At 43.1% G+C, this 20,834-nt stretch overlaps 1 protein-coding gene and 1 pseudogene across 2 annotated transcripts in view, besides 5 other annotated features; both read right to left on the bottom strand.

The window, feature by feature from the left end:
* Nucleotides 1-11,783, bottom strand: part of UCK2 (uridine-cytidine kinase 2) — an 84,005-nt gene extending 72,222 nt beyond the window's left edge. For both annotated transcript variants that reach the window (NM_001363568.2, NM_012474.5), the window contains exon 1: nt 11,465-11,783. Coding sequence is in view for 1 of the 2 variants with exons in the window: in NM_012474.5 (NP_036606.2) it covers nt 11,465-11,563 (99 nt within the window). In the remaining variant the exon portion in view is untranslated. The remainder of the gene's footprint in view (nt 1-11,464) is intronic.
* Nucleotides 10,876-11,429: an enhancer, noted in NCBI's record as "H3K27ac hESC enhancer chr1:165797205-165797758 (GRCh37/hg19 assembly coordinates)". NCBI's record gives its function as "activates a minimal SCP1, AML or CMV promoter by ChIP-STARR-seq in primed H9 embryonic stem cells {active_cell/tissue: H9 hESC(primed)}" and the evidence as "EXISTENCE:reporter gene assay evidence [ECO:0000049][PMID:30033119]".
* Nucleotides 10,876-11,664: a biological region, named in NCBI's record as "H3K27ac hESC enhancer GRCh37_chr1:165797205-165797758".
* Nucleotides 10,895-11,124: a silencer, noted in NCBI's record as "silent region_1504". NCBI's record gives its function as "represses an Ori minimal core promoter by ATAC-STARR-seq in GM12878 lymphoblastoid cells {active_cell/tissue: GM12878}" and the evidence as "EXISTENCE:reporter gene assay evidence [ECO:0000049][PMID:35858748]".
* Nucleotides 11,185-11,664: a silencer, noted in NCBI's record as "silent region_1503". NCBI's record gives its function as "represses an Ori minimal core promoter by ATAC-STARR-seq in GM12878 lymphoblastoid cells {active_cell/tissue: GM12878}" and the evidence as "EXISTENCE:reporter gene assay evidence [ECO:0000049][PMID:35858748]".
* Nucleotides 11,745-11,994: a silencer, noted in NCBI's record as "silent region_1502". NCBI's record gives its function as "represses an Ori minimal core promoter by ATAC-STARR-seq in GM12878 lymphoblastoid cells {active_cell/tissue: GM12878}" and the evidence as "EXISTENCE:reporter gene assay evidence [ECO:0000049][PMID:35858748]".
* Nucleotides 19,566-20,055, bottom strand: RPL26P12 (ribosomal protein L26 pseudogene 12; annotated as a pseudogene).

The raw sequence follows: 20,834 nt of genomic DNA, 5'->3' as shown, positions 1-20,834 counted from the left end.
GCCAATCTGATGCCCACTTCAGCTTCTGTCATCCCTCTGTAGTCAGACAAGGAGGGCTCGCTCAGCTTGCATTTCCTTCCTGAAGAGTATTCACTACCTCTCTTGTTCAAACACTATGTATCACTCAATATTCTATTCCTTCTGCTCTCAAATGTTTACTTTCTCTACAAAAGGAGGTAGAGAAAAATGTAGCCATTGACTAATAAAAAAAGCATATCTTACCTCAATCAAAAAAAAAGCATTGAGTTAAACAAAATAGGTGACAGTTCTTTAAGAGCTTGACAATACGAATTTAAAGTTAAAAGTTTAAGTTAAAGTCACTCTCTGATTTTTTCTTTCTTTTTTTTTTGAGACGAAGTCTTGCTCTGTCATCCAGGCTGGAGTGCAGTGGCACGATCTCGGCTCACTGAAATCTCCGCCTCCCTGGTTCAAGTGATTCTCCTGCCTCAGCCTCCCGAGTAGCTGAGATTACAGGCACCCGCCACCATGCCCAGCTAATTTTTGTATTTTTAGTAGAGATGGGATTTCACCATATTGGTCAGGCTGGTCTCGACCTCCTGACCTCAGATGACCTGCCCATCCCGGCCTCCCAAAGTGCTGCGATGACATGCATGAGCCACTGCACCCAGCCTGATTTTTTTTAATGCACCACTAAACAGGCACCTAAGCCATCTAGCATGCACACTTACAAGACCAAGCTCAGTGACTGACAATGTGCCAGCAATCTTATCCAGGTGATGGTACCCCAAGAGGAAATACAAATGTGAACAGCAAAGGGACAACTATCCACATCCCCCAGCAACAGGTTTAATGTTAAAACTAGTATTAGAAGCAGTAACTGAGCAAAGTAACTCATTCTTCAACCATTCAACAGATATTTGAGTGTCTAATGTTTACAATTTTAAATAGAGTGATCATGAGAAGGAGACACGTGAGCAACACTTGAAGGAGGGAAGGTGGTTAACGATACTGATATCAAGAGATGCCCTGGCAGAATGAACAGCCAGTGCAAAGGATGCATTTCTAGGGCCCTCCCGATCTTGTTGTAGACTTAATTTACTAGGAGTAAAATGGGAAGCCACTGCAGGGTTGTATCAGAGCAGGGAATTATCCAACTTTCATTTTCACGGGATCACTCTGGCTGTTATGAGAATAGAATGTGTACACAAAGAAAGAAGAGGGAGATGGGTCAGGAGACAACTGCAATGATGCAACTGACAGATGATGATGACCTGGACCAGGGTAGAAGCAAAGGAGTGGAAAAGTGCTCAGGCTGCAGATATGTTGTGAAGGCAGGGCCAACAGGATTTCCTAAGGGAATGGATCCAAGTCACTTAGCGATTATGAATGCAAACATGTTTGAAGACTACAGTCCAACGTCAACACTCTTACCAGCCCATTCTTCATAAGCTCTCTCTAGACAGCCTGAGAGGCTACAGAAGAAATAAAGAGTAGTCAAGGATAACCCCGAGGTTTTAGGCCTGAGCAACTAGAAAGATGAAGCTGTCATCAACTGAGATGGTGAGGTTAAAGATTGAGCACGTTCAAGGGGTGAGATGAGGAGTTCAATATTGGAAATGTTGAGATTCCTATGATACACAGAGTTTGAAAAAAAATTACTTAATATTTGGTTATTCTACAAACATTTGAGAACCTCCTCATCCTTCCCGTTTTTGGACACTTGTTAGCTTCAGGCAATAGTGAGGTAAAACAAAGTCCCTGATCCTGAGAGCTCAGTCTAGAGAAGATAGACTAAACAAGCAAGGACCACACAGGGCAAGGGAAAAAAATTCTGTAACTGAGGTCTGTTTAGGATGCTTTGGCAACATAGAAGAGGAGGCCCCAAAAAGAGCAAAAGAGCAACACCTGCAAAGGCTTAAAAGTGACAGTAAGCATACTGAAGGGTCCCAGGACCTTCAGGAAATCTAACTGGTATCCAGTTGAGATGAATGTTAGCAAACGGCAGGGGATGTCAGTCTTTCAGAACCCCACCAAAGAAAGCTTACAAATGACTACCACTTACACAGGTTCAGATTCAAGAAGTACTTTGTGTGACCAGTGGTAACAATTACAGGATACTCAAGGCTAGTTACAGAACTGTCAAAATGTAAGGGCTTGTAAGGACCCTCTTCTGTAGATGAATATACAGATACTTAATAAGTAAGTGGCAACAGTGGGCTGGAACACAAGGGCTGTGGTTTGAAAGTGTCCTCCAAAGTTCACGTGTTGAAAACTTGATGCCCAATGTGGCAGTGTTGGGAAGTGGGGCCTGATGGGAGGTGTTTGCATCTTGGAGGCACCACCATCATGAACTGGATTAATGCCATTATCGTGGGAGCAGATTCGTTATGACAGGGGTGGGTTCCTTATAAAAGGAACCTCTTGTTTGAAACTTTTGTGCACGAGGACAGGCACTTCCCTCCCCCTCCTCTCCTCCTGCCCTTCTGCCTTCCAGGACGGGATGACCATGACACAGCAAAAAGGCCAGGTGTCAGGCACTCAATCTTGGACTTCTTAGCCTCCAGAACTGTAAGAAATAAATTTCTGTTCATTATCAGGTATTCTGCTATAGCAGTACAAAACAGACTAAGACACCAAGCTACCTAAATCAGTTGTCTTCAAACTAGGGTACATGAAAACTTCCTGAGCCACATGAAAGCAAGCATACTTTTTCACAATCAGGCTTCTCCCACTTTACAAAATAAAGGCCCATCACCCCTCCACTCTGAATCCATGCAAAAAGGTGATCTAAAATACTCGAGCTGATACTGGAAGATGAATGACTTAATGACTGAATAACAATTCCTTTTACAAGTCTGGAGGTTTCCAGTTTTCCTGCTTTCTACAAAATTAGAGGAGATGAATGGCAAGCTAGTTGATTCAAAAAATCCACTGTATTTTGACATATAATTTTAAAGGTAAAAACTGAGTCTAAGTGACCTTCATATAACAATATTCTGTCCATTTCCATCTACTTATTTATGTCAACAGGGTTCCTTAAAGCTTAGATCTATACAAATGAAAAATCTTATTCTAGTATTAAATAGTAATTATCCACAGAATCATCAAATAATTGGGGGTGGAAGGCTCTATCTCATCAAGATGTTTTCTTCAAAAAAATGTATAACATATCCATTTGGTTGTTTTTTTTGTTTTGTTTTTTGTTTTGAGACGGAGTCTTGCTCTTGTCGCCCAGGCTGGAGTGTAGTGGTGCAATCTCAGCTCACTGCAACCTCTGCTTCCTGGGTTCAAGTGATTCTCCTGCCTCAGCCTCCGGAGTAGCTGGGATTACAGGCACCAGCCACCATGCCCAGCTAATTTTTGTATTTTAGTAGAGACGGGGTTTCCCCATGTTGGCCAGGCTGGTCTTGAACTCCTGACCTTAGGTAATCTGCCTGCCTAGGCCTCTCAAAGTGCTAGGATTACAGGCATGAGCCACCGCGCCCGGCAGTATCCATTTGTTTTGATGAATTTTATACTAATAAGTACAGTAGTAATGCAATCGAAAAGAAATAAATACTTAGATTCATGAGAACAGGAAATAAAATTTTAATGTATACTTCTGTCACGTGTGATAGAACGACCAATAAAATATTTTCAAGCATAAAAATAAATGAAATTAAATTAATATTTTGCAGGGGAAGTGGAACTGAAATATGATTGAGGAAAAAAGAAAAATAAACATTTCTGACTCAAATAAGAGCTTGTTCATCTACATGTTTTAAAATGTATGACAATAGGTCAAATTATTATAGATTTAGAGCCCATCAGATACATTTAAAAGAATAATGAAACAATTGTTGTTTTTAAGTGTATATTTACAATATATCAGAAATCACTTCCTTTTCAACTCTTTATTTATAATGAAAAAAACTGATGTCAAAAATATGTGATGGGGCCCAGTACAGTGGCTCTTGCCTGTAGTCCCAGCACCTTGGGAGCCCAAGACAGGACGACCGCTTGAGGCCAGGAGTTCATGCCAGCCTGGGCAACATAGTGAGACACAGTCTCTGAAATAATAATAATAATAATAATAACTAATTTTAAAAATACATATTTTTACAACATATAAAAATATATATATTATATGTGCAAAATGGGATGAAGAATTCTCCAGAATTCTCTTAGCGGTTATGAATACAAAAATGTCTTTTAGACCATAGTCCAAAATCAGCACTGTTATCAGCCCATTCTATCACAAGCTTTCTCTAGACAGCCTAGGAGACTAGAAGCCTGCGAAGGGCAAAGACAGTGCTCATCTCCACTCCCAGGGAAAAGCAATCCCAGAAACACAGAACTTTGGACTTCTAGAGGACAGGCAAGGGAAAGCAGAGCATGCTAGCTGAGATGACAAAACAGCCCTTGCTCCCTGCTAGTCAGCCAAAAAAAAGGTAAAAATGTCAGACCAAATAGCATACTTATGGGCTGAATAAAGAAATAAAGAAGCACAACTCTACAACCCACACAAAATTGTTATGTTTCTGCCATGTACGTACCAGGCAAAATTCTTACCAAACACTACATGGGACAGGAAGAAAAAGTACTGCCTGCTGGTCACCTGTCCCATAGGGTACTGAAGGTTAAGTGTAGGCATTCACAGAAATACTGACACTTTTCCTGTAGTTTCACAGGGAGAAACCAAGTAAAAACAACTGCTTTAAAAAAAACAAAAAAAGAAAGAAAGAAACCCATGTTATGGAAAGAGTATTGCCAATAGCGAGTTGGCAAAGCAAACTGAATTTTTCAGAGTTGTCACCTTCTGTCATTGTTCAAAATTCTCAGGCATACATTTAGAACCACTGCCCCCTCATCCAATCAAATTATGGCTTATGAGGCCTGAAAGCCTAATGCTGGAGGGCTTTATATGGTTCTTTATATTTTTCAGGTTATTCTATTAAATTGTCTACTAATTGCACTTTTTTTGTTTTTTCTGATATAGGGTCTTGCTCTGTTGCCCAGGTTGGATTGCAATGGTGGGACTAAGGCTCACTCCAGCCTCAACCTCCCAAGGCTCAGGCAATCCTCCCACTTGAGTCTCCCAAGTAGCTGGGACTACAGGATGAAAATTTTCTAGCTCGTTTTAAGGAAAAGCCATAGCATAACTGGAGGATGGGAATATCATGATTTAGTAAGTACTACAAAATGATGACTTTCCTCTACTTGGATCTTTTTAGAGGTAACTTTTTCAAATATGATAATCATTAAATAAAAATTCAGAAGACTAAACTTAGAACAAAACCTTCAGTCTTGAATGACCACCAAAACTAACACCACCAAGGTCATCCAAGACTCACCAAGTATTAAACAAGATTTTTAAAAATAAAACGTCTTTCAATCTTCAGTCACAAATAAAAAATATTTTAGTATCAAAAGATTTTATACCATTAAAGAAATTATGTTTCTAAATGTTTCCTTTTTCTCATTTTTTATTCCTATTTTGTATGTCATAATTATATATGGGTTATACTTATATATTTTATATATATGATGAAAAGATCGAATGCTTTCATGACAAATCAGCTTAATGACTGAAATGGTTTAATGGACACGAAAGCATACAGACATGCATACACACTCACATATAAAAGTATACTCTCAACCCCTTTTTATTGATTTTAAAATACTGAAATACAAGTCTAAGATTTAGAGACCTTAAGTAGTTCCAACAGCACCATCACAGAGCCCACTAGCAAAAAAGGTCAGGTCTTCAGCAGTGAAATTCCCAAAGACAATCTGTCTCCATCACAGAACCTCATAAAAGCAAGATTTGACAAAGAAATGACATGAAAGCAAATGCTATGTAGTGAACTGGTAGGTGACCACAAACAGAGTGAGCATCAGAAACCATACTTCAAAGACACTCAAGGAACAAAGAAGAAATACAGCCTGAGGAAAGGCAGCAGGATAGGAACTACTGGAGGCAGCAGGACCCAGGGTTTCTTCTTCATTCTACCAGACATCGTGCTAGGCATGGCTCAGTGAACAAGCAGGAGAGATTCAGGCAGAGCAGACAGCAAATGCGGACATCCTTGGCTGGGGGAAAGCCTGCCATGCCAAGAGTGGGTCTGGCTGGACTAGCTAGAGTAAGGGGGAAAGGGAAGAAGGTCCGAAGGGCCAGATCATGGCAGCAGTTTGAGGTGACGGAAAACACACAATGCCATCTCTGAGAAAAGCAGCAAAAGGACCAAACCAGCCCCACAGTCCTGGGAACACCTGACAGGAAGGTGTGGAATACGTGATCTGGCTGGATGGGGATGGCGACCAAGGTTCCAGAACAGAGCAGTGGGCGCCGACACGGGTCCAGAGCACATTCTGAAGCATTCCAAAAGCAGATGCTGACTCACGGCCAAGCTGCACTGAGGTGGCAGTCCACACCTCAGAGGGGACAGCATCTCCTCTCTTATCCTATAATGGTCACACACAGGCCAACCTCCCTAAAAATATTTACACGAAGAGGCCACTGCTTGTGGAGAAAGTTCAAAACAGGTACAGATTTTAAGAAAAAAAACCGGCCGGGCACAGAGGCTCATGCCTGTAATCTCAGCACTTTGGGAGGCTGAGGCGGATCATGAGGTCAGAAGATGAGACCAGCCTGGCCAACACAGTGAAACCCCGTCTCCACTAAAAATACAAAAATTAGCCGGACATTGTGGTGGGCACCTGTAATCCCAGCTACTTGGGAGGCTGAGGCAGGAGAATCGCAGGAGTTGTAGTGAGCCGAGTTCGCACCCCTGCACTCCAGCCTGGGTGACAGAGCAAGGCTCTGTCCCAAAAATAAATAAAAAATAAAACCCTAGATCCTAATCCCAGTCCTACCACTAAGTCAAAAGTTCCCCTAACCTCATCTTCCATTGTCATCTACCAGTAGGGAAGACACATGCCTGACTTCAAAGGGAATAGATAATCAAATGCTTTAATGATAAAGTGACTTGGTAATAAACACAGTGGAAGAAATTTATAAACAGTAAACTGCTAAGGACAGAGACCTTCTTTCATGGTTTCTTAAATCCTTATTTCCCCTCAATCCCAAGCACTTAAACAGGTTAAGTAAGAAAAAGTATTCTCTCACAGAACACATACTCTACGGGAAGAAGCAGTCAACAAATAAGCATAAGACAAGAAAGATATGGTAAGTCTATGGAAGCAGAAGACAGAAAAAATAATTCTCATTAAGGAAATGGGTAACAAAGCTCCCTCAAGAAAGTATTAACAGAGCTGAGCCTTAAAAAGACTAAAGGCCATTACAAAAAGAAGACCACTGAGCAAAAATGTAAGTGAAGACAGTTCAGTAAGATGGTCTGTGTGCATTTGGCTGTGTAGAAAAATAAGGCCGGGCACGGTGGCTCATGCATGTAATCCCAACGCTTCGGGAGGCCAAGGCAGGCAGATCACCTGAGGTCAGGAGTTCGAGACCAGCCCGGCCAACATGGTGAAACCCCCACCTCTATTAAAAATACAAAAAAACTAGCCAGGCCTGGTGGCACATGCCTATAATCCCAGCTACTCAGGAGGCTGAGGCAGGAGAATTGCTTGAACCCAGGAGGTGGAGGTTGCAGTAAACCAAGATGGCACCACTGCATTCCAGCCTGAGTGACAGAGTGAGATTCCATCTCAATAAAAAATAAAATAAAAAATAAAAATAATAGCCTGGGACCATATTAGGGGCCAAGGGGATTTGTACTGTACTGAAGTGTTTGACCTGTACTGAGCAGTGGGGAGTTACCCAAGGTTTCCAAAAAGGAAAATGGCACATCCAGAGCTATTCCTAAGGAAGACCACTCTGATGGCAGTGTAATGGAGCAGATTTTTCTCGTTTCAGAGGCTATTTTAGTTGTCCAATGAAGAGGTTACAGAACAAGGAACAGGCAAAGATGAAAAGGAAACAGAATGACACCTAAAAGTCACAGATATGTATGCAGGCAAAGAAGTTTAGCCTGGGTTTTTTTCCACCTTTTAGTGTTATTACACCTGTCCTTTAGGGGGAAATATGAAAATCTGGTTTGGTTTGCTTTTGAGATGGGGTCTTGCTACGTTGCCCAGTCTGGAGTACAGTGGCACCATCAAAGCTCACTGCAGCCTCCAAGTCCTAGGCTCAAGCCATCCTCCTGCCTCAGCCTCCTGAGAAGCTGGTGGCACATACATGGCTAATTTTTAATTTTTCGTAGAGACGGGGTCTCTCTCTGTTGCCCAGGCTGGTTTTGAAGGCATCCTCCTTCCTTGGCCTCCCAAAGTGCTGGGACTAGAGGTGTGAGCCACCGTACTCAGCCATAACCTTTTTTGGTTTTTGTTCGAGACAGGTCTTGCTCTGTCACCCAGGCTGGAGTGTAGTGGCACAATCACAGCTCACTGCAGCCTCGACCTCCCATACTCAAGCATTCCTCCCACCTCAGCCTCTAGACCTGCAGCACTGCACCTGGATAATTTTATTATTTGTAGAGAACAAGTCTCACCATGTTGCCCAAGCTGAGAATCTGGTTTTAAACATAGGTCAAAATAACTTTCTCGACCCACCACAATTTTCATTTTATACAGATGGGGTCTCACTATGTTGCCCAGGCTGGCCTCAAACTCCCGGGCTCAAGCAATCCTCCTGTCTCTGCCTCCCAAAATGCTAGGATTACAGGTGTGAGCCACCAGGCCCAGTCTTGGACTTTTTTAATAACAAAAATATCAATAATCTTAAAGGATGACAAACTATCAATCATTCGTATGTCAAAAATGTACAAACAAGCTTGGGCAACATGGTGACCTAGTCTCTACAAAAAATAAAGATTGCCGGCGTGGTGGCGCACACCTGTAATCCCAGCACTTTGGGAGGCCGAGGCGGGCGGATCACAAGGTCAGGAGATTGAGACCATCCTGGCTAACACAGTGAAACTCCGTGTTTACTGAAAATACAAAAACATTGGCCAGGCGTGGTGGCGGGCACCTGTAGTCCCAGCTACTTGGGAGGCTGAGGCAGAAGAATGGCATGAACCCGGGAGGCGGAGCTTGCAGTGAGCCGAGATCATGCCACTGCACTCCAGCCTGGGCAACAGAGCAAGACTCTGTCTCAAAAAAAAAAAATAATAAAAAAAATAAAGATTAAAAAGCCAGCCCAGGTAGTGGCTCACACCTGTAATCCCAGCACTTTGGGAGGCAGAGGCGGGCGGATCACTTAAGTCTAGGCATTTGAGATCAGCCTGGCAACATGGCAAAACCCCTTCTCTACAAAAAAAAAAAAATTAGTCGGGCATGATGGTGCAAGCCTGTAGTCTCAGCTACTCTGGAGGCTGAAGTGGGAGGATCACTTGAGCCCAACAGGTGGAGGGTACAGTAAGCCAAGATCTCACCACGGCACTCCAGCCTGGGCAAAAGAGTGAGACCCTGTCTCAAAAACAAAACAAATCAAACAAACAAAAAAATTAGCCAGTCATGATAGTGCCAGCCTGTACTCCCAGTTACTCCAGGTTGAGGCTGAGGCTGCAGTGAGCTGTGACAGTGCCACTTACTCTGGGCTAGGTGGAAATGCGAGACCTTGTCTCAAAAATTAAATTAATAAATAAAAATGTACAACATGCTTTGAAAACTGCAGAAAAACGGACCCTTCCTTTCTTGAGAGTTTCTACACTCTTCCTCCTGGATAAAAATAGCAGAGAATTAGCTACTCCCACATTGGCTCACCACTATCCCATCCCTCACTTTACCCAAGTAACACCAAAAGCTTGATTATCAAGTTAGAACAGGTGACGACTGAGAAACACACAAGAAGAACAATAACAGAGTTATTCACCTTTTAGGGTCGCAGTTTTCACCCTCGTGGTAACTAAATTATTCAGATGATTACCAAGATCATTTTGTTTCTAAAAGCTCATATGCAAGTTTAAGCCTCCTCCCCACTTTAGGAGGACTGGACTTCAGCTTAAAATTTGGACCCCACTACATGCCAGGCAGGCATTGTGCTAGGAGGGCTGGGAAAACAGCCATGAACAACAACAACAAAAAATGCTCCCAATCCAACAGGAATATGCCAGAAGAGCAAGAATAATTCTAAAAGAACAGGTAAAGCTTCCTGAAGGGCTAGCATTCTGGTTTTGCTTTGAATTACTAGTATAAGTCATAGTAAAGAACATACTCAAAAATTACAAATTTTTTTAAAAGCCTTCAACCAGGGAGCACACAGAACAGAAACTTCAGGACCTAAAGCAGGCCGATTCCTAACCCCGGGAGCTACGGACGAGATCAACTTCATCAATAAAGAAGTCCAGCAGCGCCAGCCGCCGTGTCTGGCTGGGCTCCTTGCGCTAAAGTAGTCCAGACCAGGAGGGAAAAATGTAAAACCAACATGGAGGAGGGGCTACTGACGAGTCGGTTCGGGAGCTAAAACCTCGTGGCTCTTTCCTCATGGCGCCAACCAGCCTTCCTGCTCTGCTCTCCCCAGCCGGGAGAAGCATCATCCTGCCTCTCCAAACCAGCACCCAGCACCCAGCTCTCAGGATCCCTTGAGGAACCCGTGCTCCAAATGAAGTTGGAGGGTGTTAAACGGTGGGAAAAACAAGTAGCCACATCTTAAAGGCTGTTAGGGGAGCAAAGAAAGAACCATCTGGGAGGACTCCACCCTTCTCCACCTGCAGAAAAAACCCCGGGTAAAGCTAGGAAGTCATTTCCCTTGTCTCTCCTTGCCTTGCGGATAAAACAAAGGAAACAGGCTCCTAAGAGGGTCAGACACCCATACGATGACCCCCTTCCGTGGATCCAAGACGCGTACGTCCTGGACACCGAAGAGCTTGGAGCCAGTACAACTTTCTCATTGAAGCCGACCACGTTTCCTCTTATAACCTTAAAAAACAGAAGCCCCTACTATTATCGTTTCATTGATGTCACGGCACCTATTTGGCTCTCAGACTTTTACCCGGAAACCCCTGTAATCCCCAGCCCTTGCGTGCAGCCCCACACTGGGCTCCCCTTCCCCGGGATGCCGCCTCGCGCGTTCCCGCCACCCTCGCCCTCTCGGCCGCGCTTCCCGGCTCGCTCCGCCCTCGGCACCAGGCTGCGCCGCGGGGCGAGCACGTCTGTGCCAGACCGGGGCTTGAGGGAGTCCATCGGGGGTTAGTGGGGGATCCTGCGGAAAGCCCTCTCCCCCGACACTGGAGTTGCAAAACAATAAGCATCCGCTTCCCTGCCCTTCCCCCATAGGACCCCGGCCACGAGTTATTAACGCGGGGGGAGAAAAGCCGGAGGAGCACTCCCGCCCTGCGATCGTGGCCGCGTACCCCCGGAACCCCCAAGGCCCGAGTCTTCGCCTGCCCCCGCCGCAGCGCCCCCAGGCCGCGCGGGGCGCACTCGGCGCTGGAGCGCGGCCGGGAGCGGAGGCGCGCGGGCCACGCGGTGGCTGCCGCAACTGACACGGCCCGCGGCCGCCGGCCACATGCGCCGCCCAGGGACAGAAGCCGGGAAGGGAGCGCGGCTCCGGGCCCCGCCGTACCTTGCCGCTAGCTGTTCCCCCGCTGACGCCTATAAGGAAGGGCTCGCCGCCGTTGGGCTGCTGGTGGTTCTGCAGGGTCTGCTCGCTGTCCCCGGCCATGGTTCGCGCCGCCCCTCCTCCCGCTGCCTGTGCGAACGGACGCACGCTCCCCGCCCGCGCCCGCGTCGGACTCCCTCCGCTTTCCGCAGCCGCCGCTGGGCGCTGCCGGGGCTGAGGCCGCTGTCGCTCGCCTGCGAGCCGCTCGGAGCCCGGTGACGGGGCTGGGTTTCCCGAAGGAGCCAAGAGCCTTCCTTTGCCCGCAGCGGCTGGTCCGGTTTACATCCCAGGCAGAGGTCAGCGTGATGCTGCTGCTCCAATCCGGGCGGGCAGCGCGCTGCTATTCGCCGAGGCGGAGGCGGCGAGGCGTCTGGCCCCAGCCTCCGCCCCTCCCGGGCCCCGCCGCCGCCCGAGGTCTCTGCGAAAGGTGTGAGCCCGACCTTCCCTCCCACCCGCCCGGTTAACCCTTTCTCCGACGCGCCCTAGTGGACCCTGGGGGAAAGAAACAGGCTGTTCTGTATTTTAATTTGGTATGCTACCACCTATTTTCAGAAGGGATAAAAAGCTTGAAGGAAATAATAGGCAGATTAGATAAGAAGGAATGGCCCAGGTTTGAGAAGCAAAATTTGAACAAGCTTGAAAGATTAGTGTGGAACGAAGAGTTAATGTCATTTACCCATTATCCAGGCTAAAAACTTGTGTTTCCAAAAAATGAGGGTTCTTTTTCCCTTCTCCCGTTCGCCAAGATAATATGTCAGCCGCTGGCTTTAGATATTTCCTGTCTTGGAAACCCCCCAGCGCCATCCTTTTTAGCAGGCCTGTCCTCGTGCGACTCTCTAGTGAAGGGCAATTTGAGGGGCTTATCTGAAGGGTGCCCTCCGTTGGAAAAGCAATTCCCTTCTAAACCACAGTATCTCATCCCATACACTGAGCTTCCTATGGAGTTAGGGTATCTGAAAACATACTGACATTTTGATCCATTAATATCTTCAATTGAACGGTTTTCCAGAGATTGGCAATCAGTCACTTAGAAAGGCAGTTTCAGACTCCACCTCTGGAGCCAGATTTCTGCATTCACATCCAGGTCCCTGAGCAAGTTACTTAATCTCTCTGTGCTTCAGTGTTCTTATCTGTTAAATGGGAATAATAATGGCAATTACATCCCAGGATTTTTGTGAGAATTAAATGAATTAGTGTATGTAAAGTTCTCAGAACAGTGCTGGTACAGTCTAGGCCCTGTATTAGTGTTTGAAGAGAAAAGGTTTCTAAAGCGCTGAAACTGGAAAGAAAAGTTTTGCTGGGACACACCTGAGAGAGGCAGGACTAGCCTAGTAACTTCCAGTCTCTTCTCCTGTGAACTTGGGACTAGTATCAATGAGCTGATGGGGCCTACAATCTAAAACAGAATTTACGTCAATAGCATTATCTTTTGAAACTTAGTAAATTACCTTAAATTGAAGATTATTTTGAAAAAAATAATTTTCTCTCAAGCCAGGGAAATCGAGGCTGCAGTGAGCCATGATCTCCCCACTGCACTCCAGCCTGGTCAGCAGAGCCAGAGCCTGTGTCAAAAAACAAAAACAAAAACAAAACAAAACAAAAAAAAGGATACCAGAGAAAACAAACTTTTTTCACTTTTAAATTAAAGTTGACACTTGAACAACACTGGTTCAAACTGTGAGGTTCACTTTTATGCAGCTTTTTTTTTAAACCAAGGGCAGATGGAAAACACAATATTTGTGCAGTTTCCTCAGGACTGACTGTGGGACTTCATGTGTGGATTTGGTTACATGTAGGCTGTCCTGGGACCAGTCCCTCCGCATATATCTAGGAATTACTGTATTTTATGTCACCATCTAACATCAAACTCGGTAGCAGCTCAGACAGGAGACAAAGATGGGGAGAGTGGCCACTACCTGGTACCCAGAAGCAGGCATTTGGGTGAAGTTTCCTAAAGGGGTGCCTTACCAAATAGCTATGGAGTGGGTGAGTTTTAGGTGGTCCTAGAGTTAGCCTCTTCTCCAAAAGGTCTTTTCTCTACTAGATAGATTTATTAGTCATCATGGACTTTTGTAGAACTCTTTATAGCCCATTGGAATTTGGAAGTTGAACCTACAGCTAAGGGTTAGCATGGGGATATTAGGTAGTTAAGGAGAAGAGGAGGAGGATAAAGGAATGCCAAAGGCCAGTGGGGTGGCTCATGCCTGTAATCCCAACATTTTGGGAGGCAGAAGAGTGAGGATCACTTGAGGCTAGGAGTTTGAGACCAGCCTGGGCAACATAATGAGACCCCCATCTCCACAAAAAGTACAAAAATTAACTGGGCATGGTAGTGCACACCTGTAGTCCCAGCTACACCAGAGGCTGAGGCAGGAGGATCACTTGAGCCCAGGAGTTCGAGGTTGCAGCTGTGATCATGCCATTGCACTCCTCTATCGACTTGTCTCTTAAAAAAAAAAAAAGAATGCCATGTCTTTCATAAACTTTTCTCAAATCTGCATCTTCCTTGTCATTCCTATAGTGTTTATTCCATAATATTTTATCATAAAAATTTTCGAGCACAGTTGAAAGATTTTACAGCAAACACCAGTATACCCACCACCTAGACTCTATCACTAACATCGTACTATATATATACTTGCTTTAAAACATAACTGGTCATCTACCCATCCCTCTATCCATCAAGGCATTTTTATTATAGGACTTACTTCCTTTTGCTTTGTTAATTTTAATTGACTTACTCCACACTGGCTTATACATTTCTTGTTTGGTTTGTTTTGTTTTGTTTTTAATTACTATATCCCCAACGCCTGGAACGGTTCTGGCACCTTGTAGGGCCTCAACAAATGAAAAGAGATAATGTCTCATTTCTACATCCCCCAGGCCCACTGAGCAGAATGATAAGCAAGTAGGAAGCATTTAATACATGATAAATGAATGAACAAATGAATGAATATGGAAGTAAGGACACCAACAAGTAAACTTAATTTCCGTCACTTTGGAAGGAAAGGCTTGTTCCCTTGATTGTATTAATGTGGTTACTATACTTATTTCTGAATGTTTTGTTTTCCTGGCATTCCAGAGTGACTGTCCCCATCTAATCTTAATGCATCTATTACCTAGTTGAGCTAATTCATTAACTGAGCTAATTCTCAATACTTCTCTGCACTTTGTTTAATAATAATAATATTTGACCTCTGTGCATGAGTTAATATACCTGAAAGTGTCTGAAAAAATCAAAAGCATTCTATATAAAGGTAAGGCCTAATTAGCAGAGGGCAGCCATCTGCATTCTGTACTCCCTGTTTTTCTTTCTCCTTCCTATCCCTAGGGCTGGCTTGCCTACATGTAAGGAAATTACCCGTGTCCATTTAAATTATGAAGAGTACTCTCAGCTCCACTGACCTCAACAAGGACTTTCACATCTCTGCCCCCTACAAAGCAAGGCAAGCTGCCTGTGCTATTCCCTGTGCTGTGTCATCCTCTCTTGGGAGCTTGGTCACCAAATCCCATAGCTAGGGATGTTCAAATCACATTTGAGCCTACCATAACAATTACACTGCAGATTCTGAATTAAGTGGTTTTGAGCTGTCCTCCTTTTCCTCCCACTAAAAAAAAAAAAAAATCTAATTTTTTAACAAAATTCAGAGTTAGAACAGATTCAAGGAAATACATTTTCTTGGTATCTGTGATGATTTTTTTTTCTTTTACAGATTTCAGTCTGATCAAGTTCTGGCCTAGTTAACATTTGGGCACGAAGTCAGCATGAGTATGCAAGTGCAGCTGTAGCCAAAGAACAATAAGAGACATTGCTGTTGACAGTCCTTTGTCTGCCTGCCTTCTCCCCTTGAGTAGCCATAGTTCTGAACTAGACAAGGAACGTTACATTTTGCACCCAACTGAAATGTTCTTTCTCTAGGTGCTTCATGCACCATGATCAGTTCTCTATTTGTTTATCTCATTCCCCAGCCAGAAAAATAGATGTTATCACACTTCATCATGTATCCAAAGTATTATCGTTCTCTGTATTACCTTTCTAATTACTTTCCACCTTTTATCAATCAGCAGTTGCTTTGTCAGATCATAAGTACTGTTCTGAAAAGATGGCTGGATGACGTTAAAGCTCTCTGACCTTAATCAGTCACATCCAGCTCTGTGACCTTAATCAATTACATTCTCAGGTACTGTTAGGCAGCACAACATAGTGCAGTCTCAGACTGGCAGCAGCAGCATCTGGGAATGCAAATGCTTAAGCACCACCCCAGAACTAGTAAATCAGAAACTCTGTGTGTGGAGCTCCACAGTCTGTGTTTTATAAGGCTTCCAGGTGATTCTCATGCCCACCAAAGTTCGAGAACCACTGTTCTCGTGCAAAGAAGATGAATAAGCTCTAGTCAGAAAACAAAGATTTATAATCTTACTTTGTTACTAACTTTATAACCTTTGACAGGTTACATAATTTTTCTTTTCTTTTTTTTTTCTTTTTTTTTTTTTTTTTTGAGACAGTGTCTTACTCTGTTGCCCAGGCTATAGTGCAATGGTGCTATTTTGGCTCACTGCAACCTCTGCCTCCTGGGCTCAAGCAGTCCTCCTGCCTCAGCTCCCAAAGTAGCTGGGACTACAGGCGCCAGCCACCACGCCCGGCTAATTTTTGTACTTTTGGTAGAGGTGGGGTTTCACCATGTTGCCCGGGCTGGTCTCAAACTCCTGAGCTCAAGCTGTCTGCCCACCTCAGCTTCCCAAAGTGCTGGGATTATAGGCAAGAGCCATCACACCAAGCCAGCTTACATAATTTCTATAAACCTCAGTTTATTCAACTGCTAAATGATAACTCACTCACAGGATGGTTATGAAAGTAATGATACACATTAGTACACAGTAGTTGTTAAATAAATACTGTTTCCCCTTCCCCCCCCATTTCTGTCACAGCTCTCTGATTTATCACAGATATCCACCATTTAGGGGTCAGGAGTTCCAAAAGTAAGAATTCCTAATCCCCAAGGGCACTTTCTTTCTTTCTGTATTTTTTTTTTTTCATTTTGAAATAGGGTCTCACTCTGTTACCCAGACTGGAATGCAGTGGCATGATCATAGCTCACTTGCAACCTTGACCTCCCCAGGCCCAAGTGATCCTCCCACCTCAGCCTCCCAAGGAGCTGGGACTACAGGTGCACACCACCACGCCCGGCTAATTTTTGTATTTTTTGTAGAGACGGGGTTTTGCCATGTTGCCCAGGCTGGTCCCTAACTCCTGGGCTCAAGTGATCTTCCCGCCTTGGCCTCCAAGAGTGCTGGGATTACAGGGGCACTTTCAAATAAAAATTAAAAATTAATGTCCAGAATGGGCCCCGTCCGATGTAGATTTGTGGTTGCCTATGGCTAGGGAGGTTAGTGTGGGAAATGGAGAGAGACTGCTAATGGGTCCAGGATTTCTTTCGGGGTGAAGGAAATGTTTTAAAATTGTCGTGATGGTTGCACAACTTTGAATATACTAAAAGCCATTGAATTGTACAATTTAAATTGGTGAATTTCATGGTATGTGAATTATATCTTAATACAGCTGTTTTAAAAAAATTGGTGTCAACCAGAAGGCTAGAAGAAAGAGTTTTAGGAAATGGGAACAGAAATGGGCAAAAGCAAAGAGAAATGACTGAGATTTAAAAAGACGGCATCAGAGAACGTCATAACCTGTAAGACATTACACAAATGTAGGTTATTAATTTTGTTGAATTTGACATACACCCTCTCTCAGCAAAGATAATAGTCATTCAAGGGTCCTTAAATTTTAGTTGGCCCAACTTCAGAAATCTCGTAAGAAGAAGCCTTCACAGAATTGAAAAAATTAATATACAGATTTCTGTATGTTATAGAGATTTTCTGATTTTTCTCTCCCTTCCCCATACCAGGACACTTTCTAATGTGATTCTTTGAAAATAGGCTGAGATAAAGTCAAGAGTTCTATTGTCTTGCCCAGCCAGCTACCAGCACCTGTTAAGAGCAGGCCCCAGAATCCGTGTTTTATTCACCATGTTCTAAGCTGTTTGGCTTCATCCTGTTTACCTAGACCCATATCTGATCCTTTACTTCTTTTCCTGTCACCAGTCTTAATCGTTGCTATCCCACTTTTATGCAATGACTTCTTTCATTTTCCCTAATTAGTTCTTAGGTTACTGTCTCTGCAGATAATCTACTACTACCCCTTCCCTCCTCCTGTGGCTGACGCTCTTTCCATCAGGTCATAATGGATGCATTATAGTTGGTGATATAGAGCTGGGATTAGGGTGAGACAAGGGATGTGCCTTGAGTGCAAAAAGTGAGGAGGCACTGACTCTTGGGTTGAGCAAACGCAAGTGCAGGGTGGGAAAGGAGCAGCTCCTTCATACCCTAGGCACCCACTTTGCCTCACCCTCGTCTCAGAGCTCTGGTGATTGTCAAGAGGAGAAGCAGAGGATGGTACTGCTGATGGCATCAATGTCAGAGAAGTAGTTACATTTAGTCTAGTGGCTTGTATTTGAACTGGTGGCCAAGGATGGCAGGTTTGACTTTCCTCAAGATGATGGGCTGAGGTGCCAAGTGATGTTGGAAGCCAAATGAGGTTAGATAGATTAGTTTTTGCTCAGTATTCATGGTATGTTACTAAAAGTTACTTTGGTGTCTTGAAGTGAACTCTCCCCAGGTCATTAGGAGAGAAGATTAGTTTGGTTTTCCTTCAGAATGAAATTATAGCTGTTCTTAGGCAAGGAGGCCTAAGGCTTCAAGTGATGAATGCTAGTGTTTCAGAAATATTTTTAGTCAGAGACGCTGAGAAACAAACAAAAGCAACAGACTCCCCAGGAAAACACTGTGTATGCACACACACAAATAGAATGTTGAGGATAACTCAAAAGGGTTCAGACAGCTCAAGAAACCCATTCATGAAGAACTCCAAAGATCCTTGATTAAGAAACCCTGGTGTAACTGGAAAGGCCTTGAACTGAAGAGAGAAAGTCAGTTAAGCAAGTTCTCCTTTCAGGGTGGTGGAGGAGACTGGTTTGATCCTTGGGTACCTCTCCTGAGAGAGTTTGCAAGATCTTCAGCTGGTTAGGTCATCAGAACTAGAAAAATAAGATTTAAAAATTATGTGTGTATCTGTATCTACATCTATGTATATATCTACATTATATATATACACATTATATATAATATACATACTATATATAGTATATATATAATATACATACTATATATAGAGTGTATATATATATATATAGTATATATAATATATACTTTTTTTGGCTGCTCTGTCACCCAGACTGAAGTGTAGTGGTGTGATCATAGCTTACGGTAACCTCAAACTCCTGGCCCCAAGCAATCCTCCTGCCTCAGACTATATATGTATACATACTATATATACTATAGTATATATAGTATATAGTATGTATAGTATGTATAGTATGTATAGTATATATAGTATGTATAGTATGTATAGTATGTATAGTATATACTATAGTATAGTATATATAGTATACTATATATATACTATACTATAGTATATATATAGTATATTTAGTATATATAGTATACTATATATACTATATATACTATATGTATACTATATAGTATACTATATATACTATGTATATTATATATAATGTAGATATGTATATAATGTAGAGATATATACACTATATATACTATATATAATATATAGCATATATATTATATATATTTTATATGTATTATATATATATTTTATATATATATACTTTTATTTTTGAGACAGGGTCTTGCTATGTCACTCAGGCAGGGGTGCAGTAGTGCAGTAGTGCAATGTCAGCTCACTGCAACCTCTGCCTCCTGGGCTCAAGCGATCCTCCCGTCTCAGTGTCGCAAGTGGCTGGGACTACATTTGAGTGCCGTCACACGGGGCTGATTTTTGTATTTTTTATAGAGACAGCGTTTTGCCATGTTGCCCAGCTGACTTCGAACCCCTAGACTCTAGCAATCTGTCCACCTCAGCCTCCCAGAGTGCAGAGATTACAGATGTTAGCCACTGTACCCAGCCTGTATCTTTTCTTTTTTGTTGTTTGTTTCAAGTTTTAATCAAAGCTTGTACATAAGATTACTTTATTTTTGCATCTTCTCAATTGTTTCTTCCTAGTATTTGCCCTTTTCCTTTCCTACTTGGCGAGATTTGGCTTTCCATTCAAGGATCTTTTTGCTGTCTTTGTCCAGTTTTAGCCTAGTGATAGCCACCTTTCTGGGGTGAATGCCTGTGTGGACAGTTGTGCCATTAGTCTTTTCCCGCTGCACCCATTCAATGTAGATGACATATTTCTTCCTGTAAACCTGGACTACTTTACCAATTTGCTGACCTTTATAGTGCCCTCGTACAACCTGAACTTCATCATCCTTTCGGATGGGCATGGATTGCACATTGTACTTCTGTCTCAGCTCTTTGGAAACAGGGGAAGACATAATCTTCCTGTGAATGTGGGAAGGTGCATTGAAATGCCTTTTGCTATTTTTGATTTGGTTGGAAGTCACAAAGGGATTGAACTTCATTTTGGCCGCTCTGTCACCCAGACTGAAGTGTAGTGGTGTGATCATAGCTCACGGTAACCTCAAACTCCTGGCCCCAAGCAATCCTCCTGCCTCAGACTCCTGAGTAGCTAGGACTACAGGCATGCACCACCATGCTTGGTAATTTTTTTTTTTTTTTTGTACAGACAGGGTTTCACTATGTTGCCCAGGCTGGTTTTGAACTCCTGGCCTCAAGTGATCCTCCCAAAGCTCTGGGATCACAGGTGTGAGCCACCATGCCTGGCCTATGTACTGTGTGTGTATATGTGTGTGTGTGTGTGTGTGTGTGTATCCTCCCAAATGTGCTATATATATACACACACACGCATACATACATATTTTGTATACATGTAAATGTGTATATAGGTGTGTATCTATATCTGTAAATATACACATATATATTTTGTATCTTAAGATAGAAAAGAGGTTAAAGGGATAAAAAATTTTTAAAGGGATATAGCATTTTAAATGTTAAGCTATTAACCAATGTTAGCCAAGAGAACATAATCATCTTGATTAACTTCTAAATAAAAGCTCTAGGACATCATTCAGCAGCATTTTTCCTAGTCCCAGGCTGGAAGTTTATAAAGTCGAATACAAGAAAATATAAATTCAATATGACATTAAATTATAATAAGAATACAATAGGATGAAAGAACCCCTTATTTTTAAATAAATAATAAAAAGTTAATCAGCTCTAGTCAAAAGTTAAACACCTCCTGTAGAGATTATTCCTATTTTTCTCTCCAGATTTCATTTTTAATTCAACTTT

This window comes from Homo sapiens, chromosome 1 (assembly GCF_000001405.40).
Source record: "Homo sapiens chromosome 1, GRCh38.p14 Primary Assembly".
NCBI lineage: Eukaryota > Metazoa > Chordata > Mammalia > Primates > Hominidae > Homo > Homo sapiens.
This window is presented reverse-complemented; position numbering and strand designations above follow the sequence as displayed.